Here is a 19654-nt window from a genome sequence, read left to right as displayed (position 1 = left end):
TCAAAAAAAAAAGTAACTAATCCAGGAAATTAAATAAAAATCTCCCATCCCTTAAGAAAGTCCTCTTCTCCCTCCTCTTTTTGTCCCTTTTCCAACTTTCTTTCAATATCTCTGCCAATCTCACACCCCTCTTCTTCTCGCAACTCCCCTTAGCATGCCAACCAGCAATCCCAGTTAGCATGCCACATGTTCGTGGCATCTGGAATTTCTCTTCAATTTGTCTCTCAAGTTACTTCTGGTGAAAGTGTCTAGAGCCACTGCAGCTTTGTCATCTGTGGTCCCATTGGTTCTCCCCAAGCCTCCTTAGGAAGGCCAACCATAGCTGTCAGAGGGGAAATGAATGTCAGAGACTTGCGTCTAACAACAATGTTTTCCTTCTATCAAAGCAAATTACTGTTGTAGGGTGATGTTAATTTCACACATCTTAAAGCTGACCTTGAAGGAAACAGTGGCCATTATGAGAAAGTCACTTAGCTTAGGCGCCCGGGAAACAGCTCCAGTGAATGGGGAATTGCACACAGAAGCTTTCTTGAGAGGGTGCTTGGGACACATCTGGGAGGAAGTGAGGAAGGCAGGGTTGAAGAGAAGGACACTACTAGTTTTTAAAATAAGTACTGAGGCCAGACGCCTTGGCTCACACCTGTAATCCCAGCATTTAGGGAGACCAAGAAAGGAGGATCACTTGAGACCAGGAGTTAAAGACCAACCTGGGTGACATAGTGAGACCCCTGTCCCTACCAAAAATACCAGAATTAGTCAGGTGTGGTGGAGGAAGGCAGGGTTAAGGCAGCTGCAACTGAGGCCTCACCCAATACCTTAAGAAGCTCCAAAACCACTGTGCACCAAATTGAGGATCGTAGGCTGGACATTTGTATCCCAGCATCAGCTGCCTCCCAAAAATGAGAATAACCTTGGGCAATGCAGTCCTGTCAGTGTTAGGCGATGGCCATCGAGGGACCCAGCTGCGATTCATTGCACCAATATGCCTAGCAGCTGGGAGGGGGCACATCAGCCCTGCACAGGGGGACTCAGTGGAGCACCATGTGATCCACTATAAAACATAAGATCCTTTCCTTGGTCACTCTCAGGGCCACGGTCCCCACCATTTTTCGCGGTGAGAAAATCAGTGTCAGACGAGGCTTGGAGCTCTGAGTTCTGCACCCAGACAGCCAGACTCTGCTCCTCCCATGGCCATGATGAACACGTCACCAGGGCATGCTTTTCAAAGCTGAGAGTTATTTACTGCTCAAGAAAAAGGGCAGGACCGATAGCCCTGGGACATGAAGAGCTCCTAGTTTAGCCTAGACTTGGCCTTCATGCAAACTTTCCCAGACAGACTACCCCGTGGAAAGGGTTATCTAAAGTCTGCAAGGGAAAGGAAAAGAATTTCTGTTTCCATGGTATGTTCTCCCCTAATTTATGCAAAGGCTGTAGATGCAGCCTTGACTTATTTCCTGAGCTTGCTCTGGGTCCAATATGGAGTTTAGGATAGATTTAGGACAGAGATTTAGGATAGATCCATTGTGTGGCATCTTCTAACTGGGCATTCTTCACCTGTTTCCAGCCAGCTCAGTCATGGGGAGAGCCCATACTGGGGAGGTGACTGGGTAGAGAGAAAAGGGTGATACACAGAGAAAAGTCCTATTTTCTCATTGGAATGACTGTGGGATACATAGAGAATTTGTTTAAAGCCTAGTGTATTCGTCCGTTTTCACAATGCTATAAAGAACTGCCCAAGACTGGGTAATTTATACAGGAAAGAAGTTTAACTACTCAAAATTCCACAGTTTTAACAGCAAGCATGGCTAGGAAGCCTCAGGAAACTTACACTTATGGCGGAAGGCAAAGAGGAAGCAAGCAAGTCTTACATGCGGCAGGTGGGAAGTGAACTGAGAGCACAGGAAAAACTCCCATTTTTAAAACCATCAGATCTTGTGAGACTCACTCACTATCATGAGAACAGCATAGGGGAAACCACCTCCATAATCCAATCACCTCCCACCAGGTTCCTCCCTTGACACATTGGAATTGCAACTCAAGATGAGATTTGGGTGGGGACACAGAGCCAAACCATATCACCCAGAAATCTGCATGGGAGAATAAATGCTGATTTTGCCCTCTTAACAGTGAAAGTCCACCAGCAATTAGTCTCAAATACAAACTGTACTTACAATTGCAGTTGCATCTGTGGATGCCTTTTACCCAGTGGCTGTCAGCATTGGTTGTTCAATAGAATTTCCTGGGAGTCTTTGAAGACATACGAAGACCCAGCCCTACTTCCTACTTAACACCAACTGTACTGTAATCTCTGGAAGTAAGGCTCAGGCATCAGTTTTTTGTTGTTGGTTTTTGAGGTTTTGTTTGTTTGTTTTTTGAGAGAGGATCTTGCTCTGTCACCCAGGCTGGAGTGCAGTGGCACAATCATAGCTCAATACAGCCTTAAACTCCTGGGCTCAAGCCATCCTCTTGTCTCAGCCTGGTGAGTAGCTAGGAGAGCAGGTGCACACCACCACACCTGACTAATTTTGGTATTTTTGGTAGGGACAGGGGTCTCACTATGTCACCCAGGTTGGTCTTTAACTCCTGGTCTCAAGTGATCCTCCTTTCTTGGTCTCCCTAAGTGCTGGGATTACAGGTGTGAGCCAAGGCGTCTGGCCTCAGTACTTATTTTAAAGACTAGTTGTGTCCAAATTTACAAACCACTTCCTTATCCTCCTTTCAACTGGTTTGTCTACTCGGCCTCTCAGCCCTTATAAAATCTTGTGAGAGACAAATGGATGCCAGGACAGGAGAGAGACACCTGGAGGTGCCCACCAGGAAGGGAGGAGTTGGGGGTGGGTTTTCTTTGTTTTGTTTTGTTTCTTTTTTGACTTGCTTTTTCTTTTTACAGAAAACAAATGTTCAACCTTTCTTACTTTTCTCCCAAGCCTCCTCTTCCTGGAATGTCTGACATCATCAAACGCCCCTTGTAATCTAGGAAACCCCAGCTTATTCTGGTTGATCCCTCAATAGAAGTTTAAGGGACCCAAAGTGTGTGGGTGCTTTTGCTAACCTGGTCATCCAGAAGCATTTATTACCCATCTCCAACCCAGGCCCCTCCAGACTGTCAACACACTCTTTGACTTCCTCAATGGAAGACAGAAAAGAAAATCTCATTTTTGACTGTGCTGCCGAGGACTTTTCACCCACCCAGAACCACAGAGCCTTCTTAGTGCATCGCTGGGAATAGCAGGTGCCAGCTAACATCTGTCAATTAGTGTCACCCTTCCCTGACAACTCATCTATCAGGATTAAATCACGTCTTAAGGCTGACATAATATTTATACATCCTTCTGCCAAATTGGTAATGTACATTTAAAAAATTCTTTTTGTCTTTTTTTTTTTTGAGACAGTCTTGCTATATTACCCAGGCTGGACTCAAACTCCTGAGCTCAAATGATCCTTCCACCTTAGCCTCCCAAATTGCTGGGACTACAGGTGCACACCACTGCATCCTGGTAGATAGCAGACTTAAATTATGTGTTCAGCAATAGATGGTTGTGGAGGGTGCTCCAAGGAGAAGGAATATGCCTTGCATTTTAAAGTAAAATTTGCATGCGATTAATGCAGAGTAGGCCTTAGAACTCCACCCCAAAGCCAGAAAAGCTTAAACTTGACCTAAAAAGCATCTGCAAACAAGAGGGATGGCAATGAGTTAGTTCTTTTACTAAGAAGAATACAGGCAATATTCACAACATGAACTTGAGGGCAGGGAGGAGATGGCATTCTATCATGGAAAAGTTTGGAATCTCTCCCTCACTCCATCCTGAGAGCTGGTTTATACTTAGATCCTTTATATTTTTTTCCCTTCAAGGAAGATCTGACTCATGGAAGGCTAATATGTGCAGGTTCTCCTGCTTTGCAAAGACTTGGATGATATGTGACTATGTGGAGTGGGCACGGAGGATTGCAGTGAGTGAAGATACATGAGAAGGTGCTTAATTAGCTTTAGCAGAGCTCTACTTAGATGTTCCACAATCTCCTTCCTGTGGGGGGAAAAAACCCAACATAATGAAAATAACAGCGTGAGAGACTTTTGGATTAAATTAGAATGTACAGACTTACAGAGGATGTGGATTATTCTTTAGTTGCTCCCTTAGCAAAACACACAAATTGCCAGAGTAAATTTATCATCAAAGTTTAGGACAAAGGTCCCGGGGTCCACAGTGTGACTCCCACAAAGGATTTCTCTGGGTTTTCAGTTTTCCTTATCTGTAAAATGCATAGACAAGACCCTCTGTAAATTGCAAACTGCATCAAGAAATTCCGGTGGAAGTAATTTTTTAGATTAAAAAAAAATGAACAGAGTGAAGGATAATGGCGTGGGCAAGAAAAGACACATTAAAGACACCCTCAGTGTAGATTTCAGAATTCTGCAACCTCCTATCTGCAGAATCCCAACTTCAGAAATGGCTCTCATGCCCTGACTTCAGTTGTGTGCCCTGTTACTGGGTTGTTGCCTTTCTTTGCTTTGAGCCAGTTCAACTGCATGGGAGGAGCAAAGGAGAAGGAGGAGGGACCGCGAAGAGTCCAAAGCAAGGGGGAAGAACTGGATGGGTAGTTTTCCATGGGCTACAGAAGCATCTTTGTACACATGTGAGCTCACTACCTCTCTCGTTGGCTCCTGATTGACCCCTGAGCAGGGAGATGGCTCCACATCCTGGAGATTAGATTTTATTACAGAGACAGACTAGGGGCATGTCAACTTTGGCATCAGGAAGGAACAAAAGCTGGACTGGGATCTGAGGAAAGGTGTTCTCATTATAACCCAAATAGGTTTTATAAAATCCTGTGCAGGCACACACCCCCATACAAAAACAGCCAGCTTCGCACACAGAGAAGCAGCTTGGCGGAGAACGAGGCACACTACATAGGAGGTCATGGGGAAAAGCTCCAGAGAACTCGTTGACAATGAACACCTAAAAACCAGAACTAATTTGATCTTAGGCAGCAACCAATAGTGTATGGCATCTCGAGAAATGCAGCTAAGTCCCCTCCCTTCTCTGCCCTGATCAGACAGAGGTTTGACACTGATCAAATACATATCGAATGAATGAATAAATGAATGAGTGAGTTCAGACCTCGCCTGGAGTACTAGGTTCAGTTCTACACACCATACTTTTGAGGAAAACAATAGCAAGTTCAGAAGAGCATAACTGGGAGGAGGCAAGAGTACAAACATGTCACCTGAAGAAAAGTAGGAGAAACTAGGAATATTTAACCTGAGAAAGGAAAGTCGGTGCTATGGGTGGGGAAGGCATGAGGTTCAAGGAAGAGAAGAAGGACTAGACTTTTTCTGTGTTGTCCTAGGTGGAATCTTCAAGGTGACATAGGACTGAGATCAGCAACACCTGCAAAAATATTGGGCTGATGTGTGTTCTGTGTCATTGGGGAAGTTTCTTGAAACTAATAATTATTTGGTAAGGAGGTCTTGAGAAGGATGAACAGCATGGTGCTACTCTAAGATCCTTGCCAACCCCCTGGTTCTATTGCTCTAGAGAGAAGTATGTGGTTGCAACCCATCTGCCACCTACTAATTGGGAGATGTAGACAAATCACCCAACTTCTGTGAGTTTCAGCTACTCCTTTGTTAAATGTAGAAATTAATTTTTCTGGTGGTTAATTGAATCAAATCAGCTCTGCAGGTCCATCTTTGATTCATAAGGAAACCAATTGTGTGATTTCAAGGATAGTGAAGATTTACTGATTGATTGATACCTGCTGATTAATATCTGACATTCCACCTGGAGGGATTCATTCTTGAACCTTAAGAATTTATTTCCAATTAAAATATGAATATTCATGGAAGAAGTAATGAATTAAACATAATGAATCATTTATTCCTAATATGAATAATTTTCTTAATTTCAACACAGCACCATGTGATACAGAAAATAAATTTGTATAAAAGAGAAGGGAAAGCATACTGGAGGCTTGAGAAGAAAAAGATCAACTTTTATTTCTATTTCTAAATTTCATCTAAGTTTAGCCCTGCTTATAAGTCAGATAATTCTGATTGTTTTATTGCTTAGTCTTACATTCTGGGCTTAAGCGATTGCCTTATTTTCTTGGCATCCTTTTGACTTTAGACCTCAGAACATACATATTGTGGCCTGGAAAATGGATATCCAGAGACAGAGAGGTAACAACGTTGTTCTAGAAGCAAAAGGACAGAGAGGAATGATGATTTCTCTCTATTGTGTCAGTCATGTGTCCTTTGCTCCAACTCAGAAATTATTAATACAGTGAAGATGAAGGGGGACAAAAATATTTTTATATTTACTTTTATTTTTATTTTTAACCCAAAATGCTACAATTCTAAGCCCTTTACATAAGTCTATCATTGCTTAGATTTCTCTAAACGTAGCACGGCATAATGAAAAGAGCAGAGATTCCAGCTTTTGGACCAACCTAGAACTCTGGCTGTACCTTTATATTAATATTAGCTGTGTGACTTTAGACAAGTTATTTGATCCATTGAGACTCAGGTTCTACATCTTCAGATGGAGGTAATGACGCTTAATTTACAGGACTGTTCTAAGGGTTAAATGAGATAAATCCAGCACATATTAGGCCATTAAGAACTTCTAGTTCACTTACTTCTTTTTGAGAAAATGTCTAAACTTTATCCACATGTTACATAAATTTTTCAGACTATAATTAAATATACGGAATGGTCACTTAATATGTTTCAGATGTGCTGTTCCATGGAGCTACACAGCAGATGATATTTTCATTTGCATTTATTGTGGTCACTTAATATGCCAGTGAGTTAATACTCTATAATATATAATCACCATATTATTGGACATCGAAATTGGAAGTAGGTAGGTAGGCAGATAGATAGATAGATAAAAACATTTCAAAGCAGACTCAGAAAGAAATGCAGAAAATGCAGAAATAGTTGCCACAAAAAGAATTCAACATGAGTCTCCAAGATAGAATAATAACTCCTGGGCTGAGCTATGACTCCATGGAATCCCATACGGGGCCATTCCTATAGAAAAAGAACTACGTCCCCTGAATTTAAATCATTAGAGGTAGAGGACCAGAAACCAGAGCTGCTTGCTTCTATGCCCAAAGCTGGATTGCACAAATACAGACAAAGAAAATAAATCAACAAAAATAGCTAAGAGGCATTTCTAAACATGTCCAGCTGCAAAAATTTATGGCTATTAGCTCTTGGAAAAAGGTCATTTCAGATAAGACAACTATTTATACAGAAAACAAAAATGAAACATATATTGATTGGTTTTCAGTTGACTCTCCCAGTCCTGGGAGAGGTAGGAAGTAGGAAAAAGCCCAGATAAACTGCTTGCTCCCATCCACGTAAAGTCCCCAAAATTTGGACAAGAGGGTGGCTTCAGAAAAAGCTGAAGTTCAGTGTTTTATAACCATGTGGACCTTTTTTTTTTATTTTCTCCAGGGTTCTTTTGTAAAAGAGAGGAAAGGATCCAAAGACATAAACATTCCTGAGATAGAGGCTTTTCCATAGCCAAGTTAGACCTTTGAGTACTACAGGAGGAGTGGTTCATGGCAGAAATCCCCCTAGCAGGGAAAGAAGACCTTCTGTTTTAATTATTCCAATGAATCTACTGTTCAAAGGCTGTATGATGTTGGAAAGTTATCCACTTCTCTATGTCTTAGTTTCCTCATCTATAAAGTAGTTGCTGAGATCTCTTCCAGCTCTACCAGTCAACATTTAATGATTTTTCTTCTATTTTTGAAGCTGTCACACTCCTCTCCTAACCATATAAGTTTGAATATATTAAAATGTAAAAATAAAGTTTGCATGTAAAGTGTCATTCAAGTAGATCCCTAGTAATTTATCACAATGTCCAGCCCAATGCAGATTGAGTTAAATTTGCACAATCTACAGAAAGGGTTTGCTTCACATGACTGTTAAATAGAGTCAAAGGAAATAATGCTGTTAGAGTAATTTGATAGCAAACAGGCATCCTTACTATAACATGTGCAATGCAGATGCTAACCTAGCTGTGGTCTCCTGGCCCCTGGAAAACCAGATAAGCTTATCTCCAACCACCATTCACACCCTGTCAAAATCCAAACCTCAGCAAGACGGTTGCTAAGTCCTGGTGGGCTCATTTCATTCTCAGCTTCTGCAGGTGTTCTCTGTTCTTCACTGCAAAAGTAGAACTCAAGTTCTTTCCTGAATTCCTAAAAAACAAAACAAAACTTTCACACAAAGCATTCATAAGTGTGATAGACTTTACTGAGGATGGGTTGAGGTGGTTAGGGACAAAAGCGAGTGTCATATCACAGCAGCAAGAAGATTTTCAAATTCCACATCAGGCATCCCTAGTCTTATATGGTGGAATTTCTAATGGTTGCTTCATTGCATGTGGATCTCAGCTTTATTTCATCTGCTAATTCCTCCAATCTCTTTTCTTAATCTTTCCTTTCCTCTCTTCTGTATCCTCCCTCTTGGGAACACAGAGCATCTTCTCCTTGGTTCAAGCAGGGCACTATTTTTTTTGTTGTTGTCTTGACTTACGCCTTTGTAAATTTTACCTTCTTCTCTTAGTAACTTAACAAAATGTTTTTTCCAAACAATGGCATTTTTCCCTGAGAAGAATTCTGGTGCCTAAATATTTTAAGTTACCTTAGCTTTTTCATCTGAAAATTTTATGGTTATAAATTATTGTCATAAAGTGGTAAATTATGGTAATACATTATTACCATTATGGTAATAATGTATTACTCATCATAATGGTACTATATAAATATACAATTTATAACTGTAGAAAAATTTTCAGATGAAAAAGCTAAGGTAACTTATTTTCCAGTAGTCTTAAATGACTTTAGTTGTACTCAGAAGTAAACAAACAGTAGACAATTAATTCAGAACCTGTAATTAAGTAAGGCTCTAAGCTAGACCTTGATGAATCAATGAAGCTTAAAATGCAATATGAAGGCAAAAGACCCAGAATACCCAACATGCTAAAAAAGAAGAAGGAAGTTGAAGGACTGACACTATCTGACCTCAAGACTTACTATAAGCTACGGTAACTAAGGCAGTGTGGTCATTAGTTAAAGGAGACATAGATCAATGGAACAGAATAGAGAGCCTAGAAATAGACCCACGTAAATACAGTCAAGGGGATCTTTGACAAAAGAGCAGTAAATGAAATCTAATGGAGGAAATGATAGTCTTTTCAACAAATAGGGCTGGAACAATCAGATATCCATATACAAAAAATAATAATAATCTAGGCACAGACCTAATACTTTCCACATAAGTCAACTCAAAGTGGATTATATATAGACCTAAATAAAACATACAATTCTATAAAACTTCTAGAAGAGAACACAGAAAATCTATGCCACTTTGGGTTTGTGATGAGTTTTTAAATACAACACCAAAAGAATAATCCATGAATGATTTCCATGAAAGAAAAAACTGATGTTAGATCTCACTAAAATTAAAAACTTGTGCTCTTTGAAAGATACATTTAAGAGAATGAAAACACATGTCATAGACTGAAAGAAAATATTTGCAATCACTTATCTGATGAAGGATTCATCTCCAAAATATACAGAGAATCCTTAAAACTTAGCAATAAGGAAAGAAACAACCCTATTTTAAAATAGACAAAACGTTTGAACAGGCATCTCACCAAAGATATACAGATGGCAAATAAGCATATAAAAAGACACCAAACATTATTTGTAATTAGAGAACTGCAATGTAAAGCAACGAGATAACACTACATACCTATTAGAATTGCTGAAATTTAGAAAAATGACAATACCAAATGCTGGTGGGGATTTGGAGCATTAGGAACTTTCAGTCATTGCTTGTGGAAATGAAAAATGGTAGAGTCACCTTGCAAGACAATTGTTTCTTAGAATGCTAAACATAGCCTCACCACATGAGCCTGCAATTGTGCTCCTAGGTTTCTAGCCAATTGATTTGAAAACTATGTTCACACAAAACATGCACACGAATGTCTATTGAAGCTTTATTCATAATTGCCAAAAAGTGGAAGCAACCAAAATGTCCTTGAATATATAAAAGAATAAACAAACTGTGGTACCTCCATACAATGGAACAGTATTAACGATAAAAATGAGCTATCAAGCTATGAAAAGACATGGAGGAACTTTAAATCCATATCAATAAGTGAAAGAGGTCAGCACGGTAATGCTATATACTAACTGATTCTAATTATACATTCTGGAAAGAACAAAACTATAGAAATAGTTTTTTTTAAATAATCAGTGGTTGCCCGCAATTTGGGGGGAAGTATGAATAGGTGGAGCACAGGGGACTTTCAGGGCAGTGAAACTTCTATGTAACACTGAAAGAGTGGATACCTGACATAGTGCATTTATCAAAATCCACAGAACTTTGCATCACAAAGAGGGATGCTTAATATATTTTTAAAAACTCACTTAGTAGGCTGGGTCCAGTGGCTGATGCCTGTAATCCCAGCACTTTGGGAGGCCCAGGCAGTCGGATCGCCTGAGCTCAGGAGTTCGAGACCAGCCTGGGCAACATGGCGAAACCCCATCTCTACAGGAAATACACAAGATGAGCCTGGAACCTCTTACAGTTTCAGAAAGTAAGAAAGTGTTAAACACATACACACATACACACACACAAAATGATGGGGGTATATCAAAGGGACACAGGAACCAACTGAAAGCAATCCCAGTGGCCAAATATGAAATAATTTAAGTAATAAAATAAATAAAGGAAAAATGGATTATAACCCCAAGCATGAAATAAATACACATGAGCCCATTCTAGTAACAATAAATAACTGAATGAATGAATGAGAAGAAACAAAATCCTGTGCAGAAGAATTCAAAATAATTTATGTAGATATTCCATCCTCAACGAAGAGGGTGGAATACTTTGCTCTTCACTCCTTAAGATGGGCTGCAAATAATGACTTCCTTCCAAAGAGTGCAGCTTGGAAAGGGAGAAAACAGGAGGAATTTTGCCGTGGAGAAATGTGACAAACACCACTTCATCCATGTGATCAAGGTCAGTTGATAGCATGTACTCTAAATATAACATGGTGAAATGGCACTTTACCTCTCTGACCTTCCTCTCCTAAACCCATGAATCCAGTCTAATCATGGGAAGGCATCAGACACATTTCAATAAAGGGCATCCTGCAATATACCTGACCAATACTTCTCAAAACTGTCAAAGTCATTAAGAACAAGGAAAGTCTGAGAAACTCACAGCCAAGAGGAGCCTCAGGAGACATGACCAAATGTGCTGTGGTATCCCAGATGGGGTCCTCAAACAGGAAGATGACATTAGGTAAATACTAATGAAACCTGAAAAAAATATGTTGGTAGATGTCAGTTATTAATAATGTATCAATATCAGTTCATTAACTGTAACAAATGCATCCTAGTAAGGTAAGAGGTTCATAATAGGGAAACTGGAGAGGGTAGATGGGAGTTCTCTGGGGCATATATAGTACTCTCTGTACTATGTATGCGATTTTTCTGAAAATCTAAAACTTTTTGAAAATTAAAGTCTATTAAAAATATATGGTATATTCACCATTAAAAAAAAAAAAAAGCAAGTATATGAGTAGGCTGGGCGCAATGGCTCATGCCTGTAATCCCAGCACTTTGGGAGGCCGAAGTGGGCAGATCACTTGAGGTCAGGAGTTCGAGACCAGCCTGTCCAACATAGTGAAACACCATCTCTACTAAGAATACAAAAATTAGCCTGGTGTAGTGGTGTGTGCCTGTAGTCCCAGCTACTTGGGAGGCTGAGGCAGGAGAATCACTTGAACCTGGGAGGTGGAGGTTGCAGTGAGCCGAGATCACACCACTGTACCCTAGCCTGCGTGACAGAGCAAGACTTCTTCTCAAAAAAAAAAAAAAGTATGTAAGTGATGGATTTGTTAATTACCTTGATTTAATTATTCTACAATGCAAACATATAGCAAAACATCACACTGTACCTCACAAATATAATAATTTATACATCATTATCTATCAAATAAAATGCATAACTAAATACAATAAAAATATACAGTATGACACACAACAAATATTTATTGAACAGGAAAACGACAATGTATATGGCATCAAGGAAATTATACCCTGCACAAAAAGAGAGAACATCATATGTGAAAATGTTAGTAATATAAGGCTGTCTGATCTGAGTGTCAAATAACTGCTAATAACAAGTAACATTTATTAAATGCTTACCATGTGTTTACTAATACCTCACGTGTATTATCTTATTTAATGCTCACAATAGCCTCCAGAAGAGGTGCTAGGATTATTGTCATTATAATTATCTCTGTTTTACAGATAAGGAAGCTGAGGCTCAAAGAGGTTAAGTAATTTGCCAAGTCATATGGATGACAAATGGCAGAGCCAGGATTTGAATTCAGCCTCTCTGATGACAAAGTTAGTGTATTACAGCTTAAAGGAGTTACAGAGACAGAAGCTGTCTTCTCTGGAGGGCCAGCCAGTTTTTATGGTAGCATGGGGATTTGAGCTGAACTCTGAAGGCTGGAAAGACTAAGATCAGTGGAAAGATGGAAGGAGAACATTTACAGTGGAGAGAAGTCTGTGAGCAAGAGCTGGAAGGCTAGTGTGGCCAACGCCTCCAGAGAACAGAAGCGAGACTTACCCTCAGCCTCCTGTGCAGCACTTCTCCCAGCCCTGCTGGGTCTTCTCAAATCCGGAGCTGGGGAGCCTCTACCACGGCTCCATCCAGCTGCTTTGGGAGTCACACTCATGCCTCTCTATTGCACCAACATGGAAGGACAGGCATCCTCTCCGGAAACCCACAAATACTTCCAAAAAACCAAAGTTAAAAAAAAAATATCCTAGCCACTGGAATTCCTTAAAGAGCTACACAAAGGAGAGTGGCACAAGGCCACACGCCCCTGGGGGGCTTTGTGAGCAGTACACCTGCTCAACAGAGACCCACACTTCCAGCCCAGGTTTATGAGAGTGGGCACTGCCCTTCCATCACATAATGACTCCTTCTGTGCTACCTTAGAGCCACCAAGTCTCCACTCTGACTCCTGCTGCACCTCTCAGATTCTAACCCTGGATTCTGTCTCTTTACAAAATAATTTCCTATATGCATCCCAAAGACCACTCCTCTGCAATTTAGAGTCGAACGTGATTCATTACGGCAGCCCAAAGATCTTTCCCTGGAGAAAGTCTTTGGTTAATTTGTGTGGCTCTACGAAGTCGATTTTCCTATCAAGTCACATGGCCTTCTCCTCCCATATCTTGTAAAGTGGTGGCATTCAACTACACATCGATTAATTTTCTTCAGTCCTGGGCCTAAGCAAAGGCAGGGAGGTTTGTCTTCAGTTCTCCCCTCTGTTCACTAACAAGTTGGGGTGGTCCTTCCTCTTGTGTAGGCTTCACCTGCCCCAAGTCCGCCCCAAGGCCCACAGATACCTTCTCAGCAGCAGCCCCAGAGGCCAGGCCTTCTTGGAGCACCAAGGTCTCCACACTGCTTGCTGTAGGCTCTGTTCCCGGTGTAGGAGGAACTGCTCTGGCTGAATTCTTCCCTAGATTACAGGTTTCTGTACTCAATACTCTGCAATTGTGATAGCCTTTATACCAAATGTGGTGTTTGGACAGGGAGCCCATCTGGGCAGGGCCATTGTCAGAGCTGAGGGTCGCTGGGCACTGCCATCTGAGTTTCAGCTAATTGCCAGGCAAGGCCCTGGGTGCTGGAGAGGACATAAAGGATTGCATAAATAAAATGCAATTCTGTCCTTCCAATTGAGAAAAATTACATAGTAACTGTAAATAGTCAAATGAGACTCAGAATTGTTTTTCTCTGACAAATAATATTGTAAAGGGATGCAGCAGATGGTCTCTAAAAACATTTTTTATTGTCATTCTGTGATTCTCTGAATGATTTGCATTCACTCATTGGGCAAACACAGATTAAATACCTACCAAGTTGTATCCTAGGCAAGGCATTTAATCTGCATTAATTCACCCAGGACATTTTACCTGATTGGAGCCAGAGATGCAGCCCATGGCCGTGAAATAGAAAAAAGCTCACGTGCCCACAAAGGAAGAGGACCCACACTTCAGCTTTTGTTAATGCCCACTTTCAACCAGCTGAGCTAACCAGTCAAAACAGGAGATTCTAGCAAGACTTTGGTACATACACTATCTGAAGAGTCCTCACGGGCCCCCAAGGATTGGAGAAAGGAAATCAAGCCACCATTTCCAGTTTGGTTCCTAAATGGAGCCAAAGCAGAAATAGAACCTAGGAACTTTGGGCTTCCAAGCAAACACTGTATTTATGAGGCTCTGCACCTCCCACTGCCCCAGAGACTGCCAAACCCCATCAGAGTGAAGAAGCAAAGTGCAGACAATGCAATCTGTGGCCCCTGGCAAAGGACCAGGGATGTGCAGGATGTGCTCTGCTTTTAATGCATGTCCCCTTTTAATTACAGAACTGGTCAAGAGCTCTCAGCTCCCACGCACCCAGCTCCTTATAATGCTAGACTGTTCTACAGCCATCTCCAGCAGCAACAGAGTAACAAACACAACTGCTAGCCTCAGCTCCTCAAGGGAGCAGGGGTTCCAGCTGATATGACCAGTTCAGCAACAGTTCCTTGTTGCCTTGCTTTTTTCCAAACCAGGGCCTGTTGCCGTGGGTCAAGGAGATGGACCCTCTGCTGTCATCCTCTCCCCAAAGAAGTCATTTTCCGGGGCAGGAAAAGGCTCCCATTAAACTTCTTTCTGCCCTGGAACAGAAGAGTAGTTTGCAGGAAGAACTTCAAATCTGGTTTCTGATGCTATTCAAATCAAAACACAGTACCTGAAAGGGGAAACCAAGTGAATTCTGGCAAGGATGTTCAGTTCTGCCTGGGAGATTTTAGCTCCAATATTTCCATGGCTACACAGACAGATGCCCAAGGTCTAAATTGGGTGAGAGCGTGTAATATTGGGATATACTATGAAATACATATTTGGTCTCTGCCTGGGATTCTGAAAACCTTTGGAATTTCCTGAGTGGTAATGAGAGGAGCGTCTTTTGTTATTCGTAATAAGCCCCTTTCAACTATACCTGAGTTTATGCTAATGAAGTGACTCTTCGAGGATGGGATCTGGACCCCAGAGGAACCAACCATGTGATTAGAGGACTGGAACTTTCACCCCCACCCTGGAATTCTGGGGAGGAGAGAAGGGCTAGGGATTGAGTTCAGTCACCAGTGGCCAATGACCTCATCAAGCATACTTACATAATGAAGCCTCCATAAAAACTCAGAACTATGAGATTCATGGAGCTTCTAGGTCAGTGAACACATGGAGGTTTGAAGAAGATGGCACGCCCAGTGAAGGCATGGAAGTTCCGTGCCCCTTCCCCATCCTTTGCCCTCTGTATCTCTTCCATTTGGCTGTTCCTGAGTTATGTCCTTTATAACAAGGGTCCTCAACCCCTGCCCCCACCCCCCACCTCCCTGCCGCTGGGCTGCACAGCAGGAGGTGAGCCTCAGGTGAGAAAATAAAACTTCATCTGTATTTACAGCCACTCCCTGTCACTCCTATTACCATCTGAGCTCCGCCTCCTGTCAGGTCAGTGGCTGCATTAGATTCTCATAGGAGCATGAACCCTATTGTGAACTCCACATGCAAGGGATCTAGGTTGCGCACTGCTTATGAGAATCTACTGCCTCATGATCTGAGGTGGAACAGTTTCATCCTGAAATCATCCCCCCACCATCTGTGGAAAAATTGTCTTCCATGAAACCAGTCCCTGCTGCCAAAAAGGTTGGGGACTGCTGCTTTATAAAACTGGTAATAGTAAGCAAAATATTTCCCTGAGCTCTGTGAGCCATTGTAACAAATTATCGAACCTGAGGAGGCCATCATGAGAACTCAATTTATAGCCAGCTCAGGCAGAAGCACAGGTATTAACCTGGGACTTGCAATTGGCATCTGAATTGGAGGCAGTCTTTAGGACTGAGCCCTTGCCCTGTGGGGTCTGCATTAACTCCAGATAAATGGTGTCAGAATTCAATTGAATTATAGGACACCCAGTTGGTGTCTGCAGAAAACTGGGCAATTGCTTGGTGCAGGAAAACGTACACATTTGATGATGAGAGGAGCATAGTCAGAAGTGTTCTGTACAAGTGTAGAAATAAGCTTTTTTCTTTTTAGAGCCCATGAGTACTCAGATTTGGGATTCTAGGGAATAGAAGGGAAAGAGGACTGAAGAAACAAATGTCTTGGAGGCTTATAGTCTCTTTCCTGAAACACAAACATTGCAGTAACTCACACGTCTTTCAGAGAAGTTGCCAACACAGAAGAAGATAGAGAAGAGCCAGGGAATTCCAAAACCTCAGGCTCTGGGAGGAGAGTGTTCTATCTCCATTCCGTATCCACTTCCTGAGAAGGTCAGTACAGAGATAAATATTCTCTAAAGTAACTAGCCACACAGCTGGTCTCCAAAACCACTCTATTAGTGTCAGGCTGTTATTTATAATCTTCCTTCAAAACTATGTAATGTTGAGAACGTGAGTGTTTTGTGGACGAGATTTCTTCCTAGTGTATTGCCTCGCATTGGAGTGAAGAATGCAGAATCTCAATTTTACAGATTAGCTCTACCCTGGAATGGAGTTTGGGGTCTCGTGTCTGTTCTATATGACTCTCTTACCTTTAAGCTCTTCAGTTAACACCTGTGCAACCAGCTTAGTTGGGTTTCAACTCCAACCCAAGTTATCTACTGAACTTTTCATTTACACCAACAGACAAAATCCCTGAGCTCTGCTTTTCTGAAATTTTAAGGAACAAATGTAAATATTGAATATCTATTCTTTGTTTGTTTATTTATTTATTTACTTTTTTTTTTTTTTTTGAGACAGGGTCTCACTCTGTCACCCAGGCTGGAGAGCAGCAGTGTGATCACAGCTCACTGTAGCCTCAAATTCCCAGGCTCAAGTGATCCTCCCACCTCAGCTTCTTGAGTACCTGGAACTACAGGTGTGCATCACCATGCTGGGTGTATTTTTAAAATTTTCTGGTAGGGACAGAGTCTCACTATGTTGCTTTGGCTGGTCTTGAACTCCTGGGCTCAAGCGATCCTCCTGCATCAGCCTTCCAAAACACTATGATTATAGGTGTGAACCCCACACCTGGCCTGCCTACTTTTTTTAAGGCATTAACTCTTATTACTTGAGTTACAAATAATACCAAGGTTGTCTGATATTAATAATTTAAATTTATGAAATTATTTTTTTTAGTTGTCTTCATATAATTTATTTTTTGAGCCTTCCAGCATCTGTGAAGAAGCTAGGACAAATAAAATCTATAAGGCATTGTTATTATTATTGTTGCCATTTAACAGAGAAGGAAATTAAGGCTCAGTGGAGCAAAAACTTGGCGGGCTTACATAACAAGTCAGGATTGAAACCAGCACTAAAACCCTGGGTTCCTGACCCTTAGTCTAGTAAATAACTAAATACAGAAAATCCAATCTGTGTTTTTGTAAAAAATGATACTGAAACTTTATAACACAGTGCCCCTCCTCCTTTTCCAAAAGGCCTGCTTTAATTTCTGAGTGGATTCCAAGCTGATGACCACCTGTTGGACATACTGTGGAGGAGACTCTCTCACTGGGCAGAAGACCAGACTACTTACACAATCAAGCCTCTCCTAATGCCAGGATTCTATCACACTAGAATCCATTTCACAGAGAAAGCAGTGAGCACTCCACTTATTATGTAGATAGCAAGTTACCAGACCAATGACTCTGAACTTCAGATTATAGACACTTGAGGTTTACAGTATCTTTTTCAAATAACCAAGAACTCCACTGTGAATCAAGCAGTCTGAATTAATGATGAATAGTTTCTTGAGTACATAAGTGCCATTGTAATTAATAACACAAAGTTATTAAAAATTTAGCAAAACCCAAAAATTACATGATCATCTCAATTGATGCAGAAAAAGCATCAGACAAAATTCTATACCCTTTCATGATTTTTTAAAAAACACACACACAAAATAAATAGGACTAGAAGGAAACTTCCTCAATCCATTAAAGGGCATATATGAAAAATCCACAGGTAACATTATACTTAATGGTGAAAGACTGGATGCTTTCCCCCTATTATATGGAAGAGACAAGGATGTCTACTCTCACTACTTCCATTCAGTATTACTCTGGGAGGTTTTAGAGTAATTAGACAAGAAAAAGCAGTAAAAGGCATCTACATTGGAAAAGAAATATAATTACCTCTATTTGCAGATGACATTGATCTTATATACAGAAAACCCAAAAGAACCCACTAAAAACTATTAGAACTACTAGACAAGTTTAGCAAGTTTGTGGGATACAAGATTAATATACAAAAATCAGTTGTATTTCTGTATACATGCAATGGAATAATTTGAAAATGGAGTTAAGAAAACAATTCCATTTATAATAGGATCGAAAAAATAAAATACTTAGAAATAATTAACAAAAGAAGTGCAAAATTTATACTCTAAAACCTACATAACATTGTTGAAAGAAATTAAAGAAGGCAGAAGTAAATAGGAAAACATCCCATGTTCATGGAATGGAAGACTTAACATGTTAAGATGTCAATACTTTCTAAATTGATCTACAGATTCAACACAGTCTCTATCAAAATCCCAGCTGATGTCTTTGGAGAAATTCACAAGCTGACTCTAAAATTCATATGGAATTATAAGGGACCCTAAATAACTGAAACAATCTTGAAAGAGAAGAAACAAAGTAGGAGGACTCACACTTCCAGATTCTAAAACTCACTGCAAAGCAATTGACATCAAGATAGTATGATGCTCGCACAAAAACAAACTTATAAATCAATGGCATATCTTTGAGAGTACAGAATTAACTACATATCTCTCCAGTCCATTGATTTTTTTTTACAAGAGCATCAAGAATATTCAATGGGGGAAAGAATAGCCTTTTCAACAAATGATGCCAGGACAACTGGATAGTCATGTGTAAAAGAGTGGAGTTGGTCCTCTACCTCACACCATAAAAAGAGCAACTTAAAATAGGACAAAGACTTAAACATAAAAACTGAAACTCTAAAACTCTTAGAACTCTTAGGAGAAAATATAAGGCTAAGTCTTCATGACCTCACACTCAATAAAGGATACTTAGATATGATGCCAAAAGTATAAGCAGCAAATGTACAACTACTATGTAACTATAACAAATACACTGGACACAATCAAAATTTAAAGCTTTTGTGTGTCAAAGGAGTTCATCAAGAAAGTGAAAAGACAACACACAAAATGGGAGAAAATATTTGCAAATCATATATCTGATAAGGGACTTTTTTCCAGAATATATAAAGTACTCTTCTAAATCAATAATAAAAAGACAACATAATTTTTAAAATGACCAAATAACCTACATAGACATTTCTCCAAGAAAGATTGTATAGTTATCAGGGAAAGGCAAATCAAATTCACAATAAGATGCTACTTTATCTCCACCAGGATGACCAGAATCAAAAAGTCAGAGAATATGTCTCGATGTGGATATAGAGAAATCAGAAAACCCTCTGATTGTATATTAAATGTAAAATGATGCACACTCTGTGGAAAGCAGTCTGACAGTTTCTCAAACAAATATAGA

General features: G+C 40.4%; 1 long non-coding RNA gene across 2 annotated transcripts in view; it reads right to left on the bottom strand.

Annotated features, from left to right (window-relative positions):
• LOC107986930 (uncharacterized) overlaps positions 1 to 13782 on the bottom strand; it is a 139865-nt gene extending 126083 nt beyond the window's left edge. Inside the window, exons 1-4 of one of the 2 annotated variants that reach the window (XR_001745841.2) lie at positions 13465 to 13782; positions 12677 to 12842; positions 11258 to 11355; positions 5943 to 8217 (exon numbers count right to left, since the gene is read on the bottom strand). This is a non-coding gene — a long non-coding RNA (uncharacterized LOC107986930). Of the gene's footprint in view, positions 1 to 5942; positions 8218 to 11257; positions 11356 to 12676 lie in introns of those variants that run through there. The other variant, XR_001745842.2, reaches the window with a different exon arrangement.
• Positions 13783 to 19654: the final 5872 nt, after the last annotated feature.

Source organism: Homo sapiens, chromosome 8, assembly GCF_000001405.40.
Source record: "Homo sapiens chromosome 8, GRCh38.p14 Primary Assembly".
Classification (NCBI taxonomy): Eukaryota; Metazoa; Chordata; class Mammalia; order Primates; family Hominidae; genus Homo; species Homo sapiens.
The sequence above is the reverse complement of the archived record's forward strand: the minus strand, read 5'-3'. Positions and strand labels throughout refer to the sequence as shown.